The sequence below is a fragment of the Homo sapiens genome, chromosome 6 (assembly GCF_000001405.40).
Source record: "Homo sapiens chromosome 6, GRCh38.p14 Primary Assembly".
Taxonomy (NCBI): domain Eukaryota; kingdom Metazoa; phylum Chordata; class Mammalia; order Primates; family Hominidae; genus Homo; species Homo sapiens.
Window position 1 is genome coordinate 44707118 of NC_000006.12, and position 24859 is coordinate 44731976.

At 45.1% G+C, this 24859-nt stretch overlaps 2 long non-coding RNA genes across 5 annotated transcripts in view; one reads left to right on the forward strand and one right to left on the reverse strand.

Moving 5' to 3' along the window:
• Window positions 1-19515: 19515 nt before the first annotated feature.
• LOC124901325 (uncharacterized) lies at window positions 19516-20910 on the reverse strand. Its single transcript, XR_007059603.1, has 2 exons — window positions 20828-20910; window positions 19516-19698 (listed from the first exon to the last, which is right to left on the reverse strand). It is a non-coding gene; the product is annotated as an uncharacterized LOC124901325 (long non-coding RNA).
• LOC101929770 (uncharacterized) overlaps window positions 20819-24859 on the forward strand; it is a 105175-nt gene continuing 101134 nt past the window's right edge. For 2 of the 4 annotated variants that reach the window (XR_926855.3, XR_007059598.1), the window contains exon 1: window positions 20819-20962. This is a non-coding gene — a long non-coding RNA (uncharacterized LOC101929770). Of the gene's footprint in view, window positions 20963-24000; window positions 24252-24859 lie in introns of those variants that run through there. The other 2 variants (XR_007059596.1, XR_007059597.1) reach the window with 1 other exon arrangement.

Genomic DNA, 24859 nt, shown 5'->3' on the forward strand with positions numbered 1-24859 from the left:
TGGCCTAATAGAGGCTGTGCTCCCCAGGGCCATGGCATGTGTCCCAGGGACTTCACTTTGTGAGGTCTTAAGTCACTTTCTGCAAAGAGAAAAATCTGGCTGCTGGGTCTCTTGGTATACAAGTTGAACTTGTAGCTACGGGGACATCAGGTTTTCAACTTTGATATGCACATTTAAGCCTTTACTTAGTGAAAATACTTTCTTAATAATTAAGATTTTTATTTGATTATTTGAGGGTATCAAATTGTCACATGCATCCCAAAAATATGTACATCTATTACACATCAATAAAAAAAAATTAACTCTTTCATCTGGTCACCTAGATAGCAACCAATATGTGAGGAATTGGGAATGAAAACACAGAAGTCATTCAAAGCAATCCAAACCATTGAAATTCAACCACCGTGTTAACACACTTTGCAAGCAGACTGAAGAAAAATGTAAAACTGAAGCTATTTCTAATGGCTTTAGTTAAACAAAATAAACCTGGAAGCGAAAGTAAAATTATTTCTCCCAACTGCAGTTTTTACAAGGGTAGAAAAATCAAATGCTTTCCTTAAACTACAAAGCAGACAGAACCCTTCAAAAGTACATGAGAAATGGCAGGTATTTAGGTGATTAAGTTTGAGTGGACATGTAAGAAATGTTTCTGGAACACTGTGGAGCAACTGGACAGGATGGCACTCAGCAGAATCATCAGGACTGGATGGTGTTAGAAATGCAAGCCTGCAGCTACACACTTGTATCCCAGGACTTGGAAACTGAATCCATCCTTAACTCCCCGCTACCTTCATCTCCCAAGAGACTAAGACTTGAAGGTCTTCAGAAAGCTAGAATGTTTGAGAAATCACAGGCAAAGTATTTGAAATCATGAGCATTTTCTGGGGCCTTCCTTCTGTTTTTCTAATTGGCCTTCCCCCGTGTGTTAGCCAGCTCAGGCTGCCATAACAAAATGCCACACACTGGGTGGCTTAAACAGAAATTTATTTTCTCACAGTTCTGGAGGCTAGAAGTTCAAAATCAAGGTGTCAGCAGGTCTGGTTTCTCCTGAGGCCTCTCTCTTTGGCTTGCAGATGGCCACCCTCATGCTGTGTCTGTACATGGTTATCTCTGTGTTCACACACATCCCTGTGTCTGTCTGTGTATCCAAATTTCCTCTTCTTGTAAGGACACCAGTCAGATCGGATTAAAGCCCGCCCTAATAGTCTCATTTTAACTTAATCACCTATTTTAAGATGCTATCTGCAAATACAGTCCCATTCTGAGGTACTGGGAGTTAGGATCTCAACACAGAAATTGGTGGTGGGGAGGAGGGGGCACAATTAGCCCATAATGCTCTGTTCTTAATCTCCCTACATCTCTGCACTGGGGATATTCTGCTGGGGGCTCTCTTGCCTGCTTTCTCTTCCATCTCTGAACCTCTTCATCTTTCTGACTCGGCGTCCTCAGTTCCTCTGTGCATGTCTCTTCCACCCACACCCTCCGCCCTCTTACCTACCTCATTCTTCCTGTCTTTCTTCAGATATCTGTTCATTTCTATGTGCCTGTTGTAAGTAATAGTGTATCAGTCTGTTCTCACACTGCTAATAAAGAGATGCCCAAGACTGGGTAATTCATAAAGGAAAGAGATTTAATGGAGTCACAGTTCCACATGGCTGGGGAGGCTTTACAATCATGGCAGAAGGCAAAGGAGGAGCAAAATGACATCTTACATGGTGGCAGGCAAGAGAACTTGTGCAGGGGAACTCCCACTTCTAAAACCATCAGACTTCGTGAGACTTATTTACTATCACGAGAACAGTATGGGGGAAACCACCCCCATGATTCAACTATCTCCACCTGGCCCTGCCCTTGACACGTGGGCATTATTACAATTCAAAGTGAGATTTGGGTGGGGACACAGCCAAACCATGTCAGATGGCAACAGAAAAATGTTGTCCCTGCCCCCTAGAAACTTTTATTCTGAAGTGGAGAGGAGACTTGACCTCAGATAACCATAATACAAAGGCAGCTTGTGATTAGCACCGTAAGAGACTAGAGCGGAGGTTGGCTGGGCACGGTGGCTCATGCCTGTAATCCCAGCACTTTGGGAGGCCGAGGTGGGTGGATCACAAGGTCAAGAGACTGAGACCATCCTGGCCAACATGGTGAAACCTCATCTCTACTAAAAATACAAAAATTAGCTAGGTGTGGTGGCGTGCGCCTGTAGTCCCAGCTACTTGGGAGGCTGAGGCAGGAGAATTGCTTGAACCCGGGAGGTGGAGGTTGCAGTGAGCCGAGATCGCACCACTGCACTCCAGCCTGGTGACAGAGCAAGACTCTGTCTCAGAAAAAAAAAAAAAAAAAGACTAGAGACTAGTAGAGGCTGGCAAACTACAGGCCATAGGCCAAATCCAGCCCACCTGTTTTTATAAATAAAGTTTTATTGAAACACAGCCATGCCCATTTTTGTGTGCATTATTTATGGCTGCTTTTGCGGAGTTGTGTAATTGTGACAAAGACTATATGGCCTGCAAAGCCAAAGATATTTACTTTCTGGTTCTTTACAGAAAAAAGTTTGCTGACTCTTGCACTAAAGTCAGATTTTACAGATGCGAGGTAGGATGAATCCCATTTGACTACTGCACTGGGAATATGTCCCTGAGGAAGTATAGTTTCAGCTAGGCTTTGAAGGATTCATAAAAGTTCAAGAAGTGAAGGTGGGAACAGGGTTCTAACAACATGAACAGCACGGACCAATGTGTGAGGCCACAGAAATCTGATGCATATTTGGGGCCAAAGTGAAGATAGGAGCCTGGATCTCAATCAGTGGGCTGTGGAGTATCTTGGAGACTTTTGTAGCAGGGGTTGACCTATAATTAGCACAGATGAGGCACTGCATGAAATACACAGATGAATTAGACCTGATTCCTGCTATCAAGGAGCTTATAACTCTAATAATGGTAATATGACAAGTGCCCAAACAATTATATTACAGGGCAGAACAATGCCTCTATAGGGAAACCTAAACCTGGAAAGTGATCAAAGAGGGGTTCAAGCACAGTAAAAACTGATAATCAGGTAGAGGATGGATTATTAATGACAATAATAATGATAATTAAGATTCACTGGGCCGGGTACAGTGGTTCACGCCTATAATCCCAGCACTTTGGGAAGCTGAGGTGGGCGGATCACTTGAGGCCAGGAGGTCGAGACCAGCCTGGCCAACATGGTGAAACCATGTCTCTACTAAAAATACAAAAATTAGCCGAGCATGGTGGTGTGTGCGTGTAATCCCAGCTACTCGGGAGGCCGAGGTGGGAGAATTGCTTGAACCTGGGAGGCAGAGGTTGCAGTGAGCCAAGATTATGCCACTACACTCCAGCCTGGGTGACAGAGTGAGACTCCATCTCAAAAAAAAAGAAAGAAAAAAGATTAACTGGACCTGTGGTATGAGCCAGGTCCTCTGCTAAGTGCTTTACACACCACATCTCAATTAATGTCATAATAACCTTGTAAGGAGATACTCATATTATTCCCAATTAACTGATGAGGTAACTCAGTTAAGTCAGATGACCCAGTTAACTATTATTCCTATTTAACTGATGAGGAAATTCAAACTAAGCTGGGATTTGAACCCAAGTTAGATACTTCTATACTCCATACATCCAAATTAGATACTCCCAAACCCCATGCATCCTAGTTAGACACTCCCATACTTCATGTATCCTAGTTAGTCACTTCCATACTCCACACATCCTAGTTAGACACTGCCATACTCCATGCATCCTAGGTAGTCACTTCCATACTCCATGCATCCTAGTTAAATACTCCCATACTCCATGCATCCTAGTTAGACACTCCCATACTCCATGCATCCTAGTTAGATACTCCCATACTCCATGCATCCTAGTTAGATACTCCCATACTCCATGCATCCTAGTTAGACATTCCCATACTCCATGCATCCTACTTAGTCACTTCCATACTCCACACATCCCAGTTAGATACTCCCATACTCCATGCATCCTAGTTAGATACTCCCATACTCCATGCATCCTAGTTAGATACTCCCATACTCCATGCATCTTAGTTAGATACTCCCATACTCCATGCATCCTAGTTAGATACTGCCATACTCCATACATCGTAGTTAGACATTCCCATACTCCATGCATCCTAGTTAGATACTCCCATACTCCATACATCCTAGTTAGATACTCCCATACTCCATTCATCGTAGTTAGACATTCCCATACTCCATGCATCCTAGTTAGATACTCCCATACTCCATACATCCTAGTTAGATACTCCCATACTCCATTCATCGTAGTTAGACATTCCCATACTCCATGCATCCCAGTTAGTCACTTCCATACTCTATGCATCCTAGTTAGGCACTCCCATACTCCACGCATCCTAGTTAGACACTCCCATACTCCATGCATCCTAATTAGACACTCCCATACTCCATGCATCCTAGTTAGACACTCCCATACTCCATGCATCCTAGTCACTTCCACTTCCATACTCCATGCATCCTAGTCACTTCCATACTCCACGCTTCCTAGTTAGATACTCCCATACTCCATGCATCCTAGTTAGGCACTCCCATACTCCACGCATCCTACTCCACACATCCTAGTTAGATACTCCCATACTCCATGCATCCTACTCCACACATCCTAGTTAGATACTCCCATACTCCATGCATCCTAGTTAGACACTCCCATACTCCATGCATCCTAGTTAGTCACTTCCACACTCCATGCATCCTAGTTAGATACTCCCTCCATGCTCTTCACCACTAAGGTGAGAGGGGCAGCAGGGAGAGACCTATTGGAAGACTTTTGCGGAAGTCTTACCATTTGGAGAAAAATGAACAGGAGGATTTAAGATTTGTAGTTTATAGTTAGTATTTGAGTAGGTTCCAGTTTTTGAAAAAACAAGGGGGGGAAATGTATAAGGACGACTGATGGCTCAGCACTTGGTTCCAATGTGTGGGTTGTGAAGGAATGGATTCCCTGCTGCTCCTTTGGGAGCAATGTGCTCCTCTCCCCTTCTAGGAGAGAACTCTAAAGGTGTTGTTCTCAATAGTATGTGCTCACACCATAATAGTTTGTGCTTTACATTTAAAAGTACCTCAAGGTTAGTGATATAACTGGAGGCTCACTGAGGCTGAGGATTGCTGGCATTTCAGATGATGGGTGGTGAGGGGCGGGGGTGTTTGGAAGAAGCCCCTCTGGCCCTTCCACCATCCTCCTACAGGGTGCTGACAAGACTCCTGGAGATGTACGGGAGGCCTCATGGTACTAAGAACCACAGCTAAAAACCATGGCAGAGCAGGGGGCTTGGCGCATCAACAAGGAAGCATCCTCTGGGCAGCAAATGAGCTGGTGGGAAAAGAGACGCTCTGCAGTCCTGACACCCAGCAGGGAGGAGCAGGGAGGAGCAGGGAGGAGCAAGGAGGATCAGGGCCTGCTGACTACATTTGGGTCCTGAGGAGAAAGGTCAGGAGCTACTGCCCAGGGTGTCAGGGAAGACAGAATAGATTCAATGCAGGAAATCAGTAGCCCTTTGGTCCCCCCTTTTCCCCCCTGGGGTTCCACCACATACCACTGGGTCATAAATGACAAGGTGCAATTACAGCAAAGTGCTAAAGTTACAAGTTTGTTCTAAACACTCTTCAACAAAGAATATTCAGTGAAAAGGAACCCCAGGGAGTTATAAACCTTTTTTGCTGTGTAGAAACCATAAGGTTTCCATCCAAGAATGTGTTGTCTGTTTGAGGCTGGCCTTTATTCTTTCAGACGGGTGCCAGTGGCATGCATCTCAAATGAGCAGTTGTCTGTGGCCCCAGAGTCTGTGGCTGAGGCATATCTAATCAGGTTAAGCGGCCGTTCATCCCAGCTGTCAGCTCTCTGGAAATCAGAACATTATCTGCAACCACACACAATTCAAATAAGAGGCTGGCATTCAGAGGCCTGAATCTCCAACTTCCCCCCAACCTTGCTGTGATGGTCCCTGGTTTTCTCTTTTCCTACGTGACTATATACAATAGTAGCAAAGCTATTTTAGGGATTAAAACAGCTAATTGCAGATTTCCATCATGGCCAGCCACTCAGAACACAGGTTTGAAGAGCGAGCTGTGGTCTTTGCCTCTGGGGATGGTTTTGGCTCCTTTGCCTGTGAAGTCCACATCGCTGGTCCTTAAAGTTGTTAACGGGGGCTCTTCCATGTGGCCCATGTGGTTCTGGGCTTGAGGAATTTGGTGGAACTTAGTGAGAAATAGTGTGTGATGGTCTCTTGGCTCTAGAAGTGTGGCTAGAAGGGCCTTTAAACATCATCTACTCTGCCTGCTTTACTGGATCAAGAAATCAGGCTCAAAAAGACTCACCACTCTTGAAGTGGCATGAGGCTCCATGTGTCCTGACTGTCTTTCTGGTGTGCTCTCTTATGAGATGCCTGAACAACTTGATCCTGTTGCTTAACAGCATAAGGGAGGCAGTAAAACAGGACTAAAGTCAGGTTTAAATCCAGGTTCCCACATACATAGTGGTATGATTGTGGGTGAATTATTTAACCTGGCTGAGCTATAGTTGCTTTATCTATAAAATGGCAGTAATAATACCTGCCTATCAGGTTGACCAAGTATTTACACAAGATCATGACTTAAAGCTTTCAGCACAATACCTGACATTTAGTAAATGGCCTCTTGACAGTGTTTGGTGTATGTCTTGGTCTGTTCAGGTTGCTATAACAAAATATCATAAATTGGGTAGCTTATAAGTAATGGAAATTTATTGCTCACAGTTCTGGAGGCTGGAACGTCCAAGATCAAGTCAGCAGCAGATCTGGTGTCTGGTGAGGGCCCCCTTCCTGGTTCACAGTCAGTGCCTTCTCTCTGTGTCCTCCTCACATGGTGGGAGAGGAGAAGGAGCTCTCCAGGCCCTCTCTTATAAAAGTGCTAATCCCATTCACAAAGACTCTGCCTTCATTACCTAATGACCTCCCAAAGGCCCCACCTGCTAACACCATCACTTTGGGGGTTAGGATTTCAACATATTAATTTTGATGGGGGTGCATAAACACTCAGCCCACTGCAGTGTCCCTGTTACTATTGTAATGATGATATGTGGATCCTTTTGCTGAGAGCTACTCTACAGATTCTCCACCTAGGAGATGCATTGGACGTTGATTTTCATGCAGCAGCTCCCTCCAGCTACCTAAATGCCTCCTGTCATTTCTGAGAGGTAATCTCCACAGGGCCAGTGGGACCTAATCCTGGGAAGGCTGGGGACATAGAGGGAGCAGAGACATTCAGGAGGAAAATACATTATTTTATCCCCAAGAATTAAATATCCTCCTGCAATGAAAATAAAGCCTTCCAATTGTGGTCCTCCTCTTTCTTTAGAATAGATTGGATGTGCAGGATAACATGCTCACTCACCACTCAATGTCCTTGGCCTCTCCAGAGAAAGCTGTTTGTGTATCTCCACCACTGGCCCAGAGGACACGCTGCATGAGGCAGCCCACAGTTGCCAGGTAGGGTTTCCCTCCTTCAGGGGAAAGTGTGGTTCTCACAAGAGAGGAAAGGATGGTTCCTGCTTTGCTCATTGCCATCCCAGCTCAGAAGGCAGTATCTTGAATTAATTTCAGAAGAGAAAGTTTCCAGTTTGGGGACAATGATAGACACTTTGCAGGAGAAGGGGGTCTTTACTGGGGATATTCTTTTGGTGAGATAATTTGACTAGAAATAGAGAACGGAGCCTTGAAGATGGGAAAGAAAGAAAACAAGCATTTGGGCAGTGAGCTGGACTTGAGGAGAACCGGGAGATGAGCCTGAGGAGCCTGGGCATTTGGGCAAAGGCTGGGTGAGGGGCTCTGCCCGTGGCCTCACTTCACACAGAGCTTCTCCCCAGCTCTGGAAAGCCTTGGAAAGCTCTACCTGGTGTGCGCTCCTCGGAGTTTTTCCAATTGCCATGTGGAACTGCCAACATTTTCCACATTAAGAACAAATCAAAAGAGATTTTTCACTAAGCGTGAGTTAGTGGATGGGAATGAGAGCAAATCAAATTCATGCAAAAATAGAGGAAATTAATTTTTAAAAAGCCCAACCAAACACCCTGTAATTTTCAGTGATTTCCTTTCAGGGAAACTGTGACCACTGTCACTATAAACAAAGCAGAGAATAAATAAATAAAAAGGGAAAGAAGGTTGTGTTTTTTCTACTTGCCTCCCTGATGGATGGTTTATAGAGGCCTCGGGATAAAAGTCAGCCTCTAATCGCTCCCAGATGGCGCCTGCCTCTGCCCCTGCTTCAGCGTTTCCCCACGTGCCTCCGCCTGGCCTGCCAGACACACCGATGGTGACAGGAGCCGGACTCTCGCCTCCTTGGCTGTGGCCACAGCCCAGATGCAAAGGGGCAGCAGAAGGTTGGGGCCACTGGAGGGAGGGGTAGATGGCCACAACAGACCCATCAGCTCCATGGAAATGAGCCACCCAAGCCAGCACCCTCTCTGTTCAGGGCATGGCTGGGCCGTGGGGGCCACCAAGGAGCCTATGTGTTTCCTTCCTCCTTGGAACCCTTCCTCAAGTGTGCTCACTGCCATGCTCCTGGGCTCTGCTGAGTTCCACCTCTGAGGGAGGGGGGCCTAACCCAGGAGAAGGATTCTGCCCTTCTGATGCACTGCTTATATTGGAGTATCTGGACCAAATCTTATAAGCAATCCAAAACCTTTCTGAAATGAGGCAGGGTGTCCATCAGAATGAAAGTCACCATCTTATATCATCTTTGCTCCTGGGCTATTGAGGCTGGGGGTCCCCAGGGACTGCCCTCAGTTGGCATAGCTGTCCCATCTACCAGGAGTCTCCACAGCCCATGTTGCCACCCCCAAGGCCTCTGCTGCTTGTCTGCCTCCACAAACCTCAGGAGGCTGCACTGGCAGAGCACATGACTGCACTGATCACTTGGGAAGCATCTTCTGTCTCCTTTCCTTCTCCCCGCCCCACCTTTTCAGAATGAAACCTGAGATGCCACATGAGTAAGTCCCCACTTGATCCCTCAATAACTGGGATTTAGCAGAAATGAGGGTTGGACGTGTAGCCAGATTTTGAGCCACTGTTCTCACCGTCTTGGCTTCTCTATTGACTATTTTAGGAATTCAGGTGCTTTTACGGGACGAGATGTTCTTTTTGTACACGAGAAGACATAAGCCTTTCTCTATGAAGAACTTGAAAATAACTTTTTAGCTATCGAATATCTCTTGCAAAACAAATATCATGATGAGTTGGGGTAAATGAATCAGAAACAGATGGATAAAATTTCTCTGAAATACACAGATTTTCAACCTAGAGGGAAGGGCAGAGGCAAAAAGCATTTGGGGTTTCCATGAGCCCAAAATACAAGGAAAAGGGCACGAGGCACTTGACTGATCCAACCAGCTCATGTGGGAGCACCCAGTCCAGCGTCAACAGAAATGTCTGTGCAGCCTCCAAGAGGCACAGTTATCAAGAACATGGAGCTGCTATCAAGTTTCTAAAACATGGCTTCTGAAAATAAGCTGTTCTAATTTACAGTATACCTTCCCTAAACCACTCCCCTGGAGCACTTCCATGGAAGATGAAAATTATTTTGGAGGTAACCAGTTGCTGGGTTTGCCATCCATTCTGCAACAGTTAGATGTGTGCATAGAGGCCCTGACTGGTGGGGTGGGAGTGTGCTGGATGGTGGAAGCGGACACATCAGTGGTTTCTGCAAGAATGGGAAAATAGTATATTTTGTGACCAAGTTGCTCCAGGGTAGGCAGATTGCTCTCAAATCGGTTACAGATTTCCCTGAAATATGCAGGGACTTCCATACAGAAGAAAGGGAATTTGGAGCTGAAATGCATTTGGAGTTTTGTTAAGCTCAAAACACAGGAACAGAGTCAGAGATAATGGCTGGTCCCAGCAGTGGCCTCTTGGCCAGTCCTCATCTTTCCAGCACACCTGCTGCCTGTGCTAGCTGCACATCTGTAGGCTTTGCAGAGTTCTCAAGGGGAGTTGCTGCCTCCGTGGTTCTCCAGTCGGTGCTGTGGTATTAGTCTATCCTCCAAAGCTGAATGGAGTCTATCACCACCATGCAGCTATCTTTGTTGTTCAAAGGAGTTGTTCCTGTTGAGACATAATATTCTGAAAATGATACCAAAAGGAAAAATGATTGGGGATCTTCAGAATTTGTCCTAAATTTAATGTTCTATGGAATTTTTTTTAGACATTCCATCACAGGCCCAACTGTGGTCCTTCCTAGAAAATCAAAAGCATTATAAAATCTGCTAATTCATACTTAGCACGTCTAAAGTGGGATTCTTTGTTTCTGTTACTGCCTTAGTATTCCCATGTCAGGCAGGGGCAGTGGAGTCTACTCAAGTTGGAAATCTCAGATTCCGCCTCAATCACTCCCTCTTGCTCATTCTTTAGATTCAGTACACAAGGAAATCCTAGAAGTATGACTCCCAGGCCCAAAAATATGTCTTGAATCTATACACTGCCATCGACTCCTCCAGGCACCAGCATCTTCTGGCTGGACAACCTCAGTCACCTCCCAGGTAGCCTCCATCATCTCTACTCACTGCTCTTCCTGCCTTTCCACCAGTGCCTCCTCCAGACAGCTGTCCCAGAGACCATGTCACTTCTCAAAGCATAATTCAGATCATGTCATTTCTCTGCATAAAAATGTACAGTGGCTTTCCATTGTAGTTAGAATTAAATCCAAACATCTCACTGTGACCTGCAAGGCCTTGCTTGATCCAATCCTCACTTCCCTTAACTCTCTCCCCATTCCCACTCTGCACCCCATTCTGTCTTCCCTGGGCTACAGATACCTGCCCCCCAACCAACCCTGACAACTCCCAGACACTCACACCCATCTCAAGCCCTTTACACATGCATAGCACTGAGATCTCACTCGGAAGCTCTTTTTATCACGGGTTCCTTCTCATTCTTTGAGTCTCAGCTTGAAGGTCTCCTCTTATTTGTTCATAGATTATAATAACAATCTCAAAGCCCTAAGATCTTAATGTAAATTGGCCATTGATTAGACAGTTTTCTGGCTGCAGATTTTTTTTTTGTTTTGTTTTGTTTTGTTTTGTTTTTTTGAGATGGGGTCTCACACTGTTGCCCAGGCTGAAGTGCAGTGGCACGATCTCAGCTCACTGCAACCTCTGCCTCCCAGGTTCAAGTGATTCTCCTGCCTCAGCCTCCTGTGTAGCTAGGATTACAGGTGCCTGCCACCATGCCTGGCTAATTTTTTTTTTTTTGTATTTTTAGTAGAGATGGGGTATCACTATGTTGGCCAGGCTGGTCTTGAACTCCTGACCTCGTTATCTGTCTGCCTTGGCCTCCCAAAGTGTTGGGATTACAGGCATGAACCACCATTCCTGGCCCTGGCTGCAGATCTTAATGTCTGTTGAGTCTTTGACACTTGTTAGCATAAGAAGGCACATTTGCATACATGTAAGGGTATATACAACACACATATTAACATGCATTCACCTGACATTGGCATGGAGTATACTGGTGAGGAGGGTGATGATGGTAGCAGAGCTGGGAGACCTATAAGCAAATTCCCACAATAAAAAAAAGCAATTGTAATCTTGGATCCTCCCAGCCTAGGAAACCCCACGAAGGTTCTGTGAGGGAGGGTCTCTCTCCTCTTCCCTGGCAGTGAAAGATGAGGATCCTAGAATGGCTGCTGGGTCTGTGCTGAGTGAGTTGGTAAGGAGGAGCATTCCATTGCATCGGGGGCAGGACAATGATATCTAATTTTTACCAACACACGGGAGCATGAAAGGGTAGAAAGAGAGTAGGAGGAAGGCCTGATTTAGGACAGACAGGAGAGACAGAACAATACATGCTCTCTTGTAAACTTTAAACATTACAGAAAATTAAGATCTAGGGGAACAAATCTCTAAGGATGCCCTTATCCAAAGACAACTATTGCTATGATTTTGATGAGTTTATTTCCGCCTTTCCTTTATGTGATTTTTTTTTTAGTGTTACCAAGCAGCCATGATATTGTACATACAACTTTCTGTCCTGTTTTTTCCACGTAACCTTGTAACCTAAGCATTTTCAGATTATTACTTAGCCACTGAGAATATTATTAAGGGCATGGACATACTCAATATTCAGTTTATCTTTCCCCTATGTATGGGAATTTGCTTTATCTTGAACAGTTAATTTTATACATAAAGTGGTAGTTAACATTTTTTATGAAAGATTTAGGACAACTTTCTCAGGATAGATTAGATGGACTCTTTAAGTTAAGCTAGTAATTTTAATCTGTGACTTCAAATTACATTTATTTAGTTCACCATAGTCAGTAATCACTTTTACATCTCTACTTTCTCTCTTCATCTTTTGTTTTCCCTTTAGATTCTTTCTGAGGTATCTTCCAAATGTTTGCAGGTCTCACCAATGTCTATGTAGGTGTGTGGCAGAGACTGATGACTGCTCAGGAAAACCCGTTCTCCCCTTCTTCCATGCACACAACTAGATCCACTTCCCAGCTTTCCTTGCCATTGGGCATGTCATGTCATTGACTTTGGCCATTGGAATGTAAAAGGAGGTGAGGTGCTCCACTTTCAGACTGAGCCAGAAAGTCTCCCACTTATGATCCTCTGTAGTTTTCTCCTTCTATCAACTGGGTGCATGATACCATAGAGAATGACAGAGCCATGAGATAGAAGGAAACTGGATCCCTGAATGACATGGAAGAGCATCACCCTACCTTTCTTGACAACTGTACAGAACTATTACATGAGCAAGAGATAAACTTGTATTGTGTTGACATATTACAGCTTGGGACTATTTGTTACAACAGTTTAGCCCACATGCACAAATGCAGAGTGCAAATAAAACTGCACTAACATCAGTCCCAAGCTTTGGATGGCTCTAAGCCCCTATCAGTATGAGTGTAGGATTTTGTCTCCTCACCCAGGTATTCCTGGAGGTCCTGGGCACAGAAACAGTTCTCCTCATCCTCATCCATCTGCCTCACCATGGAATCCTGTTTCCTTCTCCAAGGTGAGTAAAGCACAGGTGTTTTCAATCTCCTAGGATGTGGCTTTGGAATAGACAGTCAGAGACATGCTTTGAGTTCCTCAGGGATAGGTACTATCAGAGTCTCTACCTGGCTGAAGGGTTCAGGAACCTCTCCTGAGCTGTCCCCTGTGAAGGGATCTCTGGACCTGCATAGGACTCAGAAGCAAGGCAGATCTGACTGGCATTGCCCAAGGCAAAGGCAAGGATAACCAAACCACAGTCCTTCTGAAGCCTCTTTCCCAAGAGGCAGGGTGGTGGGCAGCCAGAAACAGGGTGGGGGTGAGGGGTAGATGGAGCAGAGGTGAGGCAACACACCCTGGTGAGTCCCAAGTGCTCCAGAGTGGGCCCTGTGTCCTTGCTCATGGGAGCTAATGGGTCTCCCAAGGGTGCCAAATCCATTTAAACATGTGCCACAAAATGATAAGGTGCTATTTCCTGAACTGCCTAATTTAAAAGCCCCCACATCAGTGACTTGGTAATAAAAATACCGTTTCATTTTCCATATATGATGAAAGCTTCCCAAGTGCCAGTGTTTCCACTAAGGAACCTCTTGCTCCATCATGGTCCCACTCATTCAGTTTCACAGTCTGTCTCTGTCACAAGGTACAGTGTGGACATCGAATCCCAGCTCCAGTGGCTCTACTAGACAAGGGCTAGTTTCTGACATCTCTGTGCCCTAGTTTCCCCCTCTGGAAGATGGGGACAAAGGTGGAAACTGTCGCAGAGGCATCAAAAAGATTGAATGAATAAAAAAGCATGAAAAATCACATAACTACCTGGAAGATAGCTACAGGTTGAATATCCCTTATCCAAAATGCTTGGGAACCAGAACTATTTCTGATTTCATACTTTTTCATATTTTGGAATATTTGCATAGACCTGAAATGCTCCAGCGAGCATTTCCTTTGAGCATTATGTCAGCACTCAAAAAGTTTCAGATTTTGGAGCATTTCAGATTCCAGATTTTCCTATTTGGGAGGCTCAATCTGTATGATTACAAGAAACAGGCTTCTCTGGCTGAATTCTACAACTTAGACACAGACTGTGACCTTATATTTACCAGACACTTGAACCAAATAAAATAGCTATCCAATTTGGAGAACACTTTTATGTTTTGTTTTTGTTCCAGTTCAAGTTTTTATTTTCATTTAAAAATTTTTAAACAGGTTCAATTATTTTTTTCCAAGTAGGTTTGCTGGGCTTTTAGAAAATCTTTGGTTTGGTTAATGGCAAAATTTGAAAAATATCATTTGGGTTTGGTTTGGCTTTCAGTTGAAGAGAGTAGTTTGGGCTGGTCTGGGGTTCAGTTCAAAGCCTGCCCATGAGAATTTGATTCTTTTTTTCAAAAAGAATGTCTACGGTGTGCAGGGCACGAGAGAACAGCAACACCCTAGATGTCAGTGCAGCTGCAAATATTAAAAGTTGCTAAGCTTTAGGCTCTGTATCAAAAAGTTACTTGAAAACTATGGCCTGCAAGCATCTTGCAATATAATAATATTAGAGGTCTCAGAACCACATATCTCACATTGTAGGGCAATGGCATAAAGTTTTTGTTATTGTTCGGTTTTGGCTTTTTTTTATGTAGCATAAGAGTTTCACACACACACACACACACAAAAGCCCATAGGCACTCAGAAGAGCCTGCAGCAGAACCAGGTCTCATCCTGAAAGTTCAGCGTATATTTGTTCTAAATTCATGTCCATTGATGAATTTTAACTTTCTGCCTCACACTATTTCAGAACCACTGAATTTGTAGAAAATGTTGGAGTCACCCACCAAAACATTACTTTTAGATTTATTTCCCCCAACTACTTTGAACCAGAGAGGTTAAGCAAATTTCCAAGTCATGTAATGACACATGAGGACACCAGAAACATCCCAGGACTCCTAACATCTCATGTCCTGCGCTAACCTCCAGTATTTCCTCATCTTCAGGAGGGTGGATATGTTACTTAATGGTATCCCCTAATTCCCTGGTAAGTCCATGGTGATCTGACATGCAAGTGAACAGGCTGTTTTTTCACTTTCTTTTTTGGCATCTCAAATACTGAATAGAGAATTAGGTCCATAACACTGAAGAACAATCAGTAAGTAAATGTGCTATGATTTTATTTATTTATCCTAGTTCCCCAGGCCACTCCAGCAAATCAGCACAGATTAAGTCCCCATGAATGATAAGAATCCACAGTTCGCTGGATCTCACATCCATGTGCTTAGGGAGGACCTTGGCCCCTGCCAGATCTCCTCTGTTTTCCTTCAGCCTTCTAGCTCCTTGGTCCCAGAAATGAATCCATGGGGATTTCAGAGGGGACACAACAGAATGACAGATTTCAAGCTCAAGCTCTATTCTGAACTGTGGCTACTTACTGATCCCTATGGGTGTTTTTTAGTTTTGTTTTTTTTTGTTTTTAACTTGCTCAAGTTGGCCCCATCTGGCTGCCTCCCCTCTTGGGCTGCATTCTCCTAGCCGCCCCATTTCCTCAGTCACATATGCCTCTGGTGACCCTCCCCATGAGCTCCCCAGACACACTCAGATAAGTCCTAATTCCAATTTAGGCCTCCTCTGTTTTTCTTAGGGTATATAATGCCTGTGGGTAGATGAAAATATCAGGAACTCAGGGCTTGAGCTATCTTATAAAGATATTTAAATATCAACACATGAAATAAGTAATGAGTCACATTAAATAATAAGAAATGAGCAATGAGAAATCACATTGTAAATTACAATGTGCTCTGCAGATAACAGACTGATTTGCCAAAAATCAGCCTGCCACCTCATCTGCCTGCTGGCGTTTCCCATTTCACTATATCCCTTATTATGGGTGGGGTCAGGGGGATATGAGGTCCATTCCTGCCTCTAATTGGGTTGAATTTACCTGATCAAAACCATGTTTCTAGTAACTATTTACCAACTCACACTTCATGAAATGGTTTCCACAGCCTTTGGGGGTTTTCCTTATTTTCAGTTCTAGTTTTGCTGAGGCTTTCTAAAGCCAATCCCTGAAGCTGGCTTGTGGGAGGGAGCTCCAGAGACCCTATCTTTTGGAGCAACAGTGGTGTCCTCCCTTTCCCCACAACTTGCTCCACAATTCCCCTGAGTCCTGCCCTCATAAACACCTGGGAGCAAGCCCTTGACACCCCACTTCTTCACATAAAACCTGCCAGTTTGGGATGCAATTGTCATTTCTGGCAAATTGTCCAGGGGTAAGACTAGATTGTCTGCAAATACAGCCAATAACATTCTTCCCATCCCTTATGGGCATCAAGAAGTCCATTCTCCCTCCCCCTTGAATCTGGGCTGACTTTGTGGAATGTGACCTTCTGGGACTTCTGAGCCCAGGCTTTAAGAGGTCTGGTAGCTTCGGTTATCTTGGAGCTCTGAGCTACCCCTTGTAAGTCAGGCTACTCTGCTAGAGACAAAGGTCCTACCAGCTCTCAGCTGTTGCTGCTGTGAGGGCCAGGCATATTGATTTATTCAGCCTCAGTCCAGCCTCCAGCCTGTAGAATCATGAGCAAATAAATGGTTCTTGTTTTAAGCCACTAGGTTTTGGGGTGGCTTTGTTATGCAGCAATAGATAATTGATACACCATCTGTAGCAGGTTGATTACTCTGGCAGCTTGCATATGATTAACTCGAAACTTACTGGGGAAATGTGAGCAAATTTGCATAAGGAACTCAGGAGTCTTCTGGGAGAAACCAGAATTCTCTCCTCCGAGATTCCATATTGTGAACATTAGTCAGGATAAATCCAAAGCCCAGGCTATCATCTAGGGACATGAGCATACAATAAATCTCCTGAAATAAAACCAGTGGAGTGGCAGTGATCAGTGCTTAGGACCCACATTAATGACCACCGTGATTCCTGTACTAAGGCAGTGGCCACAGGCAGAGGGACTCTCTAATTCCCTACCTAGCTCGGTTCTGTTAAGAAGAGCCAGATGGATATATTGGAGTTTTCTTGACATATGAAGAAGGGGAGGTGAAGGCAGAAGCAGGGTTGATAAAGAGACTCAGTATACTGGGACCTCAAACACTGCCCTTTGAGACAGTACTCGGGTGTTATATTTCGACTCCTAAACTGTAAAGTCAGACATCCCAGCTGTGTTACTGTTACAATTTTCAGTTTAATTTTCTTTTAAAAAGTAGGTACTCAATCTTGAGCAGGAAAACATTTTTGAAAAACAGTAACAAAAATTGTAAAGAAATATCCTGTTCACAAGCAGTGTCACTCTGCCTTTCCAAATGCACACTGTGTATAGCAGAAAACAAAGAAATAATTTTTAGCCTATGAGGAAAATTGTTCTTAATATCCCCATACCTAGTGTATGAAAAGAAGCCTCTGCCCTCATTGAATATATGAATGGTTAACATCTTGATTCTCTTTAAAAACAAAGCACCCGAAAGAAAACTGATTTTGGATTTTTCTGGTGTGTGTGTGTGTGGGGGTGTGTGTGTGTGTGTGTGTGTGTGTGTGTGTGTGTGTGTATTTTCCAAAAATCAACAAATCAGAACACAACTCCACCTCACTGAACTTGAACTCCAAACATGTGCTTAAGGAAGACAGGGCGGACAGCCTAGGGACTTGAAGGTCCCATTAGCAGTCATCCACACCCATTACCTTGTCTCACTGGATTTCCTTTTATGCCACTGTTCCAACACTCTGCAAAATGAACTGACAGACAGATTCTGAAATTTGCATGCAGATCCTTCTTGATAGTAAAAATGCTTCAAGATGTGGCTGGGAGAACTAAGTGGCTGACTTCTGAGGCTTTGAAAGGCACTCCTGGTCTCAGCCTCATTTCTCACAGTGGAGTGGTACCTGTAGTTGGCCCTCCCGACAGCAGTGACCCCTCAACTCCTCTGCACTGGAGGAGTCTTAAAAGGGACCATGTGACCTGGGAAGGTGACTTTCTCCAGAGCACTTGAAGGTCAAGGTTCAGAGAAGTGGGGATGCGCAGTGAGGGGCTGTAGAAGGCAGAATGTGTGGACACAGTGGGTTTGCAAATCCTCTTCAGTGACTCGCATCATGGCTGGAGCTAATCCAATGACTACAGGGGGAAACAGGGTAAAGGAGAGGACATTTACTCATGGTCATTCTGCCATCTCACGGCTGCAGAATGTCACGGAAGGAAGTCAGCCTGCAGTCACCCCACTTCCCTACCTACAAATCTGTCAGGCCTTTTCCTTTAGCTTTTCCTCTGGAGCTGTCTCTCTAGCAGAGTTTCTTAATCTGAGGTTAAATTTTCAGGGGTTCTCTGAATTTGAAGGAGAAAAGAAAAACTTTATTTTTATTCCCCTAAAGTTGAAATGTAGCATTCCTTTCAAATGCAGTCTTTTTCACTGGCAATCACAGATATTTTCATATTATAGTTACAAATATCAAGAAATATTTTTTATATTACGGTCCCACCACAAGAGCTTGTTATTTAAGGTCTTAATGAAGCATATATAAAATTTTATCACACACCTCACACCCATTATGATGGCTACTATCAAAAAAATAGAAAATGGATGTTGCTGAAGATCTGAAGAAAGTGGAACCCCTTGTGCACTCCCTGCAGGAATGTAAAATGGTGCAGTTGTGTGGAGAGCAGTAGGGTGGTTCCTCAAAAACAAAAAAATAGAATTGCCATAGGATCCAGCAAGTCTAATTCTGGGTCTATACCCTAAAGAACTGAAAGCAGGATCTCACTTTGGGAGGCTGAGGCAGGCAGATCACGAGGTCAGGAGATCGAGACCACGGTGAAACCCCGTCTCTACTAAAAAATACAAAAAATTAGCTGGGCTTGGTGGCGGGCGCCTGTAGTCCCAGCTATTCGGGAGGCTGGGGTAGGAGAATGGCGTGAACCTGGGAGGCGGAGCTTGCAGTGAGCTGAGATTGTGCCACTGCACTCCAGCGTGGGCGACAGAGTGAGACTCTGTCTCAAAAAAAAGCAGGATCTCAAAGAGATATTTGTACACCCATGTTTATAACAGCATTATTCACAATAGCCGGAAGCTGGAAGCAACCCAAGTATATATTGATTGATGAATGAATAATACGTAGTATTCACATTCAATGGAATATTATTCAGCCTTAAAAAGGAAGGAATTCTGACACATGGGTGAACCTTGAAGCCATTACGCTAAGTGAAATCAGCCAGTCACAAATTGACTGTTTGATTCCACTTATATGAGGTAGTTAAAAGTATTCAAAATCATAGAGAAGAAAAGTAGAATGGTGGTTGCCAGGGGGGTGGGAGTACAGGGGAATGCGGAGTTAGCATTTAATGGGTAGAGTTTCAGTTTGCAAGATGAAGAGCTCTGTGGATGGATAGCGGTGGTGGTCGCACAGCAGTGTGAATATATTTACTACCACTGGAACTGTACACTTAAAAATGGTTAAGATAACTTTTTAAAAAGCTGTCCAAAAAAAAGAACCCCCCAAAAAACTGTATCACAAATTCAATTCAAAAAATATTGTTAATTATATTTTGATATGGCTTGTTTCCTTTATAATCTCAAGTGTTTTATTTTATGCATTTAAAACATTATTCTGGGGAGGAGTCCCTGGACTTCTTCAGGCAGCGAGAAGGGTCTGCAGCACACATACTTGAGATCCTCTGGTCCAAGGCTCTGCTCTTCAAACTGCCTGGAGACACAGAATTGGTGCCTGAATAAACAAGAATGGTCCCTGGAAAATCTGTTTTATTCAAGTGTTACACCTTTTGAACATATTTAAGAAGACCCGGATGTATCATGGAGTAGAAAGCAAACTTTACGTGAACTCTCAGGATAAAAATGTTAAATGCATTTTGTGCGTGTGGCTGTTTGGATATACCTCCAAAACCTCAGGGGCTTACAGTCTTCTCTGTGTTAAGGATTAGGTATGTTCCCTGAAAATCTGAGATGTCAGTTTCCTCTTTAGCCTCATGGCCCTTCAAATTAGGAAGGCTGCGTGAGGTGGCTGAAAGAGGAAAAGTTTTCGCAGAAGAAAAACCTGGGTTCAAATCTGAGCTCTACTAGTTATAGCTGTGTGGCTGTGGGTCAGTTCCCTACCTGCCCAGGGCCTCCGTTTCCCCATCTGTAAAATAGAGATAGATGGCAGTATCTACCTCATAAAGTATACAAAACTTCTAGTCCCTAGAAGGGGCCCAACACAACTTAGCTTCAAAACAGGAAAACCAAGCTCTTTCTTGTCTGTGGATAGCTGTATCCAGGGCTGTCATGGCCTGGGTACCAATTTTTGTTTCAGCTCCTCCACCTTACTCCAGTGAGATGGGATCTCCCTTTCCGACTCCCCGGCCTGCATTTGCGGGTCCTCAGTATTTTGGCTGTCTCCTCTCGGGGGCTTCCAATTTGACGACGAATCTGAACAGGCTGGTAACAGCCGCAGCCAGGCTAGTGGAAAACTCGCCGGATCTGAAGCTGCCCCCCCACCTTTCACCGCCCTAGGAAGACCTCGACAATCCCCGCAGCTTTTATCAGCACACAAGATCGGCGCTGAGCACCACAACTCCAATCACCGCTAGAGAAGCTGGGTCCAGAGGAGTTGGAGGCAGCGCAGAACCTTGGGAGGGCCCGCACCTGCTAAGCATGCACGCGGCAGGCTCACCTGAAGCCCGAAAGTGAGCCCGCACAACGCACGCACATGAGCACGCACGCGCACGCACGGAGGCTCGCTGGAAGCTTGGAGGCGAGCCCGCACGATGCTCGCACATGAGCGAGCACGCACGCGTACACACGAGGCACGCAGGTGGGCATGCGTGCGTTAGGTGTACCTGTACACTTGCTGCTCCCCTGATGATTTGCTCAACAGTGTCTGCAATTGGCAGCCAGAAGGAGTCCGCAAGAAGCAGGAGGGTTCGGACCTGAGACCGCGCCACAGGAGGAAGGCCAGGATCTGGGAGCGCAAGGTGAGTGCAGGGGAAAACAGCCTGAGCAGGTCTTGAGCCAGCTTCCTGCTGCCTGGGGCAATGATGGCGTCAGGCCTGTGGAAATAAGCGCCAGGTTTGAATACTCAAGGACAGTAAAGCCAATTAAACAAGTGGGTGCCCCTCTCTCCTTTTCTGATTAGGCCTCTCAGGCCTTGCGCCATCTCGTGCTAGGATGCCTCTTCAGTCTCTTTCTCACTACTTTTATCCTCACGCTCTCAGCTCTGGTCGTGTGCCCTGCCTTGGGGCAGACACCTCCTGGACTGCACCCTGAAATGAATGTCTGAAGCCTAGCCCTGCCCTCCGGAAAGAACAGCCAGCTGTCCCACAGTGGCCTTACTGACACTGCCCTGCGCCTTCTGTTGGGAGCCCACCTAGTCTCCTGCAGGTGCGGAGCCGGTGCACAGCTGGCCAGGCCAGGCAGTGGGAGACTCAGGCTCTGCAGGCCTCCTTTTCCTTTGAGGCCAAAGATGGGCTGTGGTCAGCACATGTTGGATGTGCCTCATTGGGGCTTAGTGAACTGGCAATAATAATAGTGCTACAAAATGAAAAAGTAGTAATACCTTATATTTGTGCTTTCAAATTTGAAAAGCCCTTTCATTAATGAAAGTGTAATGCTTGCAACCTTTTAAGGTTAATGGTATCCACCCATCTTCTTATTCCCATTTTACAGATGAGGAAACTGAGTCACAGAAAAGTTATGCAACTTGCTCAGGTCACTGAACCTTTTTTTTTTTTTTAATCATTCTGATTTGTAAGTGCCTCTATGGTTAAATTGGGGTAGCGGGTAAAAGGACAACCACCGCAAAAATGGTACATGGGCAGTGTCTTGTCCAAAAGCGAGGGTCTCCAGGTTCTTCTGAAAGCATCTCAGACAAGAGAAGGCCACTCCTGGGCCCTAAGGGCTGCTACCAGCCTGGTTTATAAGTTGTATGCTAAACGAGACCTGAGATATTGGGGCTGGGGTGGAGGCCAAGGACCACCTGAGAGACAAAGCTGGGCATTGCAGCAACACAGGTATAACACAGGTTATTACCTCAGCAACACAGGTTATTACCATGGCCACTTCACCAAACTGTAGTGATGTCTCAGCAGATCTTGCAGATCCTTAACACTGTGATGATTAGTGTCCCCATCTCCTGCCTCCTGTGTCTCCAGGCAGAGAGGAGGCTTCAATTCAACCATTTTGAACAGGGTGATACTACCAGCTGAGGGGCAATTAGCATTTTGCACACTGGATAAAGGATGCCCAATACCCTGCCATTCCTGAGACTGTCCTGCAAAATGAAGAATTGTACTGTGCCCTACACAACTGTCAAATTACTAACTGGACAATTCTGGAGGTGAAAAACCTGACTTTATCATCTTATACCAGGACGCAATACAGATTATTTTTTGCACGGTTTTAGAAAACATTGAATGCATGCAACCAGTATGTAAATTAAGATTGTACTTTAACAGTGTTCACAATACAGGAAAGCATTGTATCTGACAGCAATGCTGCATGTAGTTTTGGAATCCCTGTATGACCCACCTTGTCACTCTGCATTGATGATGTTGCTGGCACCGGGAGTCCGTTCAGCGGTGCGGTGCTGTGCTTCATCAGGGCTTCCGAAGTAGCCATGCCCACACATTTATATATGGCAGTACACATTAATTTATCATAAATTGCCCTTTTTACAGTTAAGATGTTTGACCTTTTAAAATTATGAGTATAATATATTACCTTTTATTTCAGGATAATAAGGGAGTATTATGATATATTTGTAACAGAATAGAGGCATTGAGTTTGAGAATCACTGCTCTGAGCAAATGGCAGTTTCCTTTTTTTCCTAGAAATCATAGGATTTCAGGGTTAGAGGAGACCTTGAGTGTCACTCAGTCCTTTCCCCACTCCATCTAGTACTCAAATCCCTGCAGTTGGAGGACCAAGGACCTTCACACACCTCTGTTTCCTTCCTCCTATGATGTGACCCTTTGGAGTTCCCAGGATGGAACCAAGTGGGAAATGGGCCTGAAGGACCAAGGGCCCAGGCTCAGTGAGCTTCACCAGATCTTGGCAGGTGGTATTATAGATATTGGGATCCAAGAGTCATTCAAGATCTCATCCACTTAAAGAGGTTGGCATCAGCTCAATGGAAAACCTAGACCTGCATTGCAAGAGGAAATACTCTACCCTCAGAGGCTCAGTCCATATCAGGGACCCCCAGAAATGCCAGGCTGGTGGACAAACAAACTGTATCTCAGAACATACCCTGGTGCTGGAGTTCTGAATGACTCCATGGCATCTGATTCTCAAGAAGCACTGGGCTAGGTGGAAAGAAGTAAATAGATGGGCTGGGATCATTAGGAAACTAGAGGCAACTAAGTGAAGGTGTCTCCTCTTGGCAGTTTATTCCAGGATCAAGCTTCAATGACTTCATATTCTTGGATGAAGGGGCTGTGTCATGTCAGAAGGGCTAGCTTAGTGAGCTTCAGCCAGGGCGAGCCCCAGTGCCTTTGCTGACTCAGTGTCCCAAAGCTGCCTTGACAGGAGACGGACCTGAGAGGCAGAATGCTGGATTAAACCACCTGCAACCGTGCTCAAATCCTTCCCCCATCTTTCTTCTCCACTGCCCTCACTACCCAATGAATTTGCCACTCAGTTGTTCCTTCCCATGCCCTGTGCCCTTTCCACTGGAGGCTGGACAGCTATACTCCACCTACTTCCCTCCAGCCCCCCTGGACTGACACAGAGCCCTCTGTCTTCCTGTGGAATGCAGTAGCAATTCTGAGCATGGTGCTGGACAAGAAGTCCAGCTCCCCTCATAAACTTTTTATAGCTTAGGAAAATAAACATGTGGTTTAAGGTCTTTGCATAGGCGGTGCTCGCTGAGTTTGAGCTTGCTTTACAGAACTACGAAAGAAAATATTGGTAGAGCTAAGAAATTTCTGAGCCAGCCAAGGGACAGTAGTCCAGAAATCTTGGGGAGGGTTTGATGGTTCAGGCAATAAAAAGAGAAGTCATCTACCTAGCTGTTATCTCGCTCTGTCCTGCTAAGAATCTGCCTGCCTGAGTGATGCAGCCAGGCTCCCTTGTTCCCTGGGGCAAGGAACCAGTAGAGGGATAGGGAATCACAGTGTTTCCCGGCTGCAAGGGCCCTTGGAGATGGTTTTACAGATGAGGAAGCAGAGTCCAGAGAAAGGAAGTGATCTGCTGGGAACCACTGTACTTTTCACACAAGCAACTTTCCGGGCATCTGCTATGTGCTGTCCACAGGATGGCGAGGGGGTAAGGAGACCACTTAATGCATGTGTGCCAGCAGCAGGGCAGCAGCAGGGGTTCAGGGGCCATTTGTAAGGTTTACTTCCTGGCTTTGTGGAAGAGAAGAGACACTTGAAGAAGGAAGAATGACTATGAGGTTTTCAGTTGGAGCAGTGGGTAGTAAGAATAAAAATAATATCAGTATTGCTCTTGTTATCATTTATTAGACATTTACTCTGTAAGACCTGCTGTCACCCCACTGAATCCTCAGAACCCTGAGAGGCTCATATTAAAGTCCTCAATTTGCAGTTAAGAAAAACTACAGCTCAAGGGGGTTGAGTCATTTGCCCACAATCACCCAGCTGGTAAATGCAGAGCCAGAATTAAACCCATGCTGCCTGACCCCTGAAGCCGGGACACCTGCTCAAATAGCTTGCTGGAACAGGTGATGGGAAAGCAGACAAGAAGAGTGGGTTAGGCCGGGCTAAATTTGAGGATCCCGTGGAACAGTCCGGCAGAAATACAGGTCCAGGTTGGAGTTGGGCATCCGAGAGGGATACGTGGATTGGGGTCACCTGCTAAAGGGATATTGAAGCATGTCTGTTTACTGCCAAAGTCTCTCTTTGGGACACTGA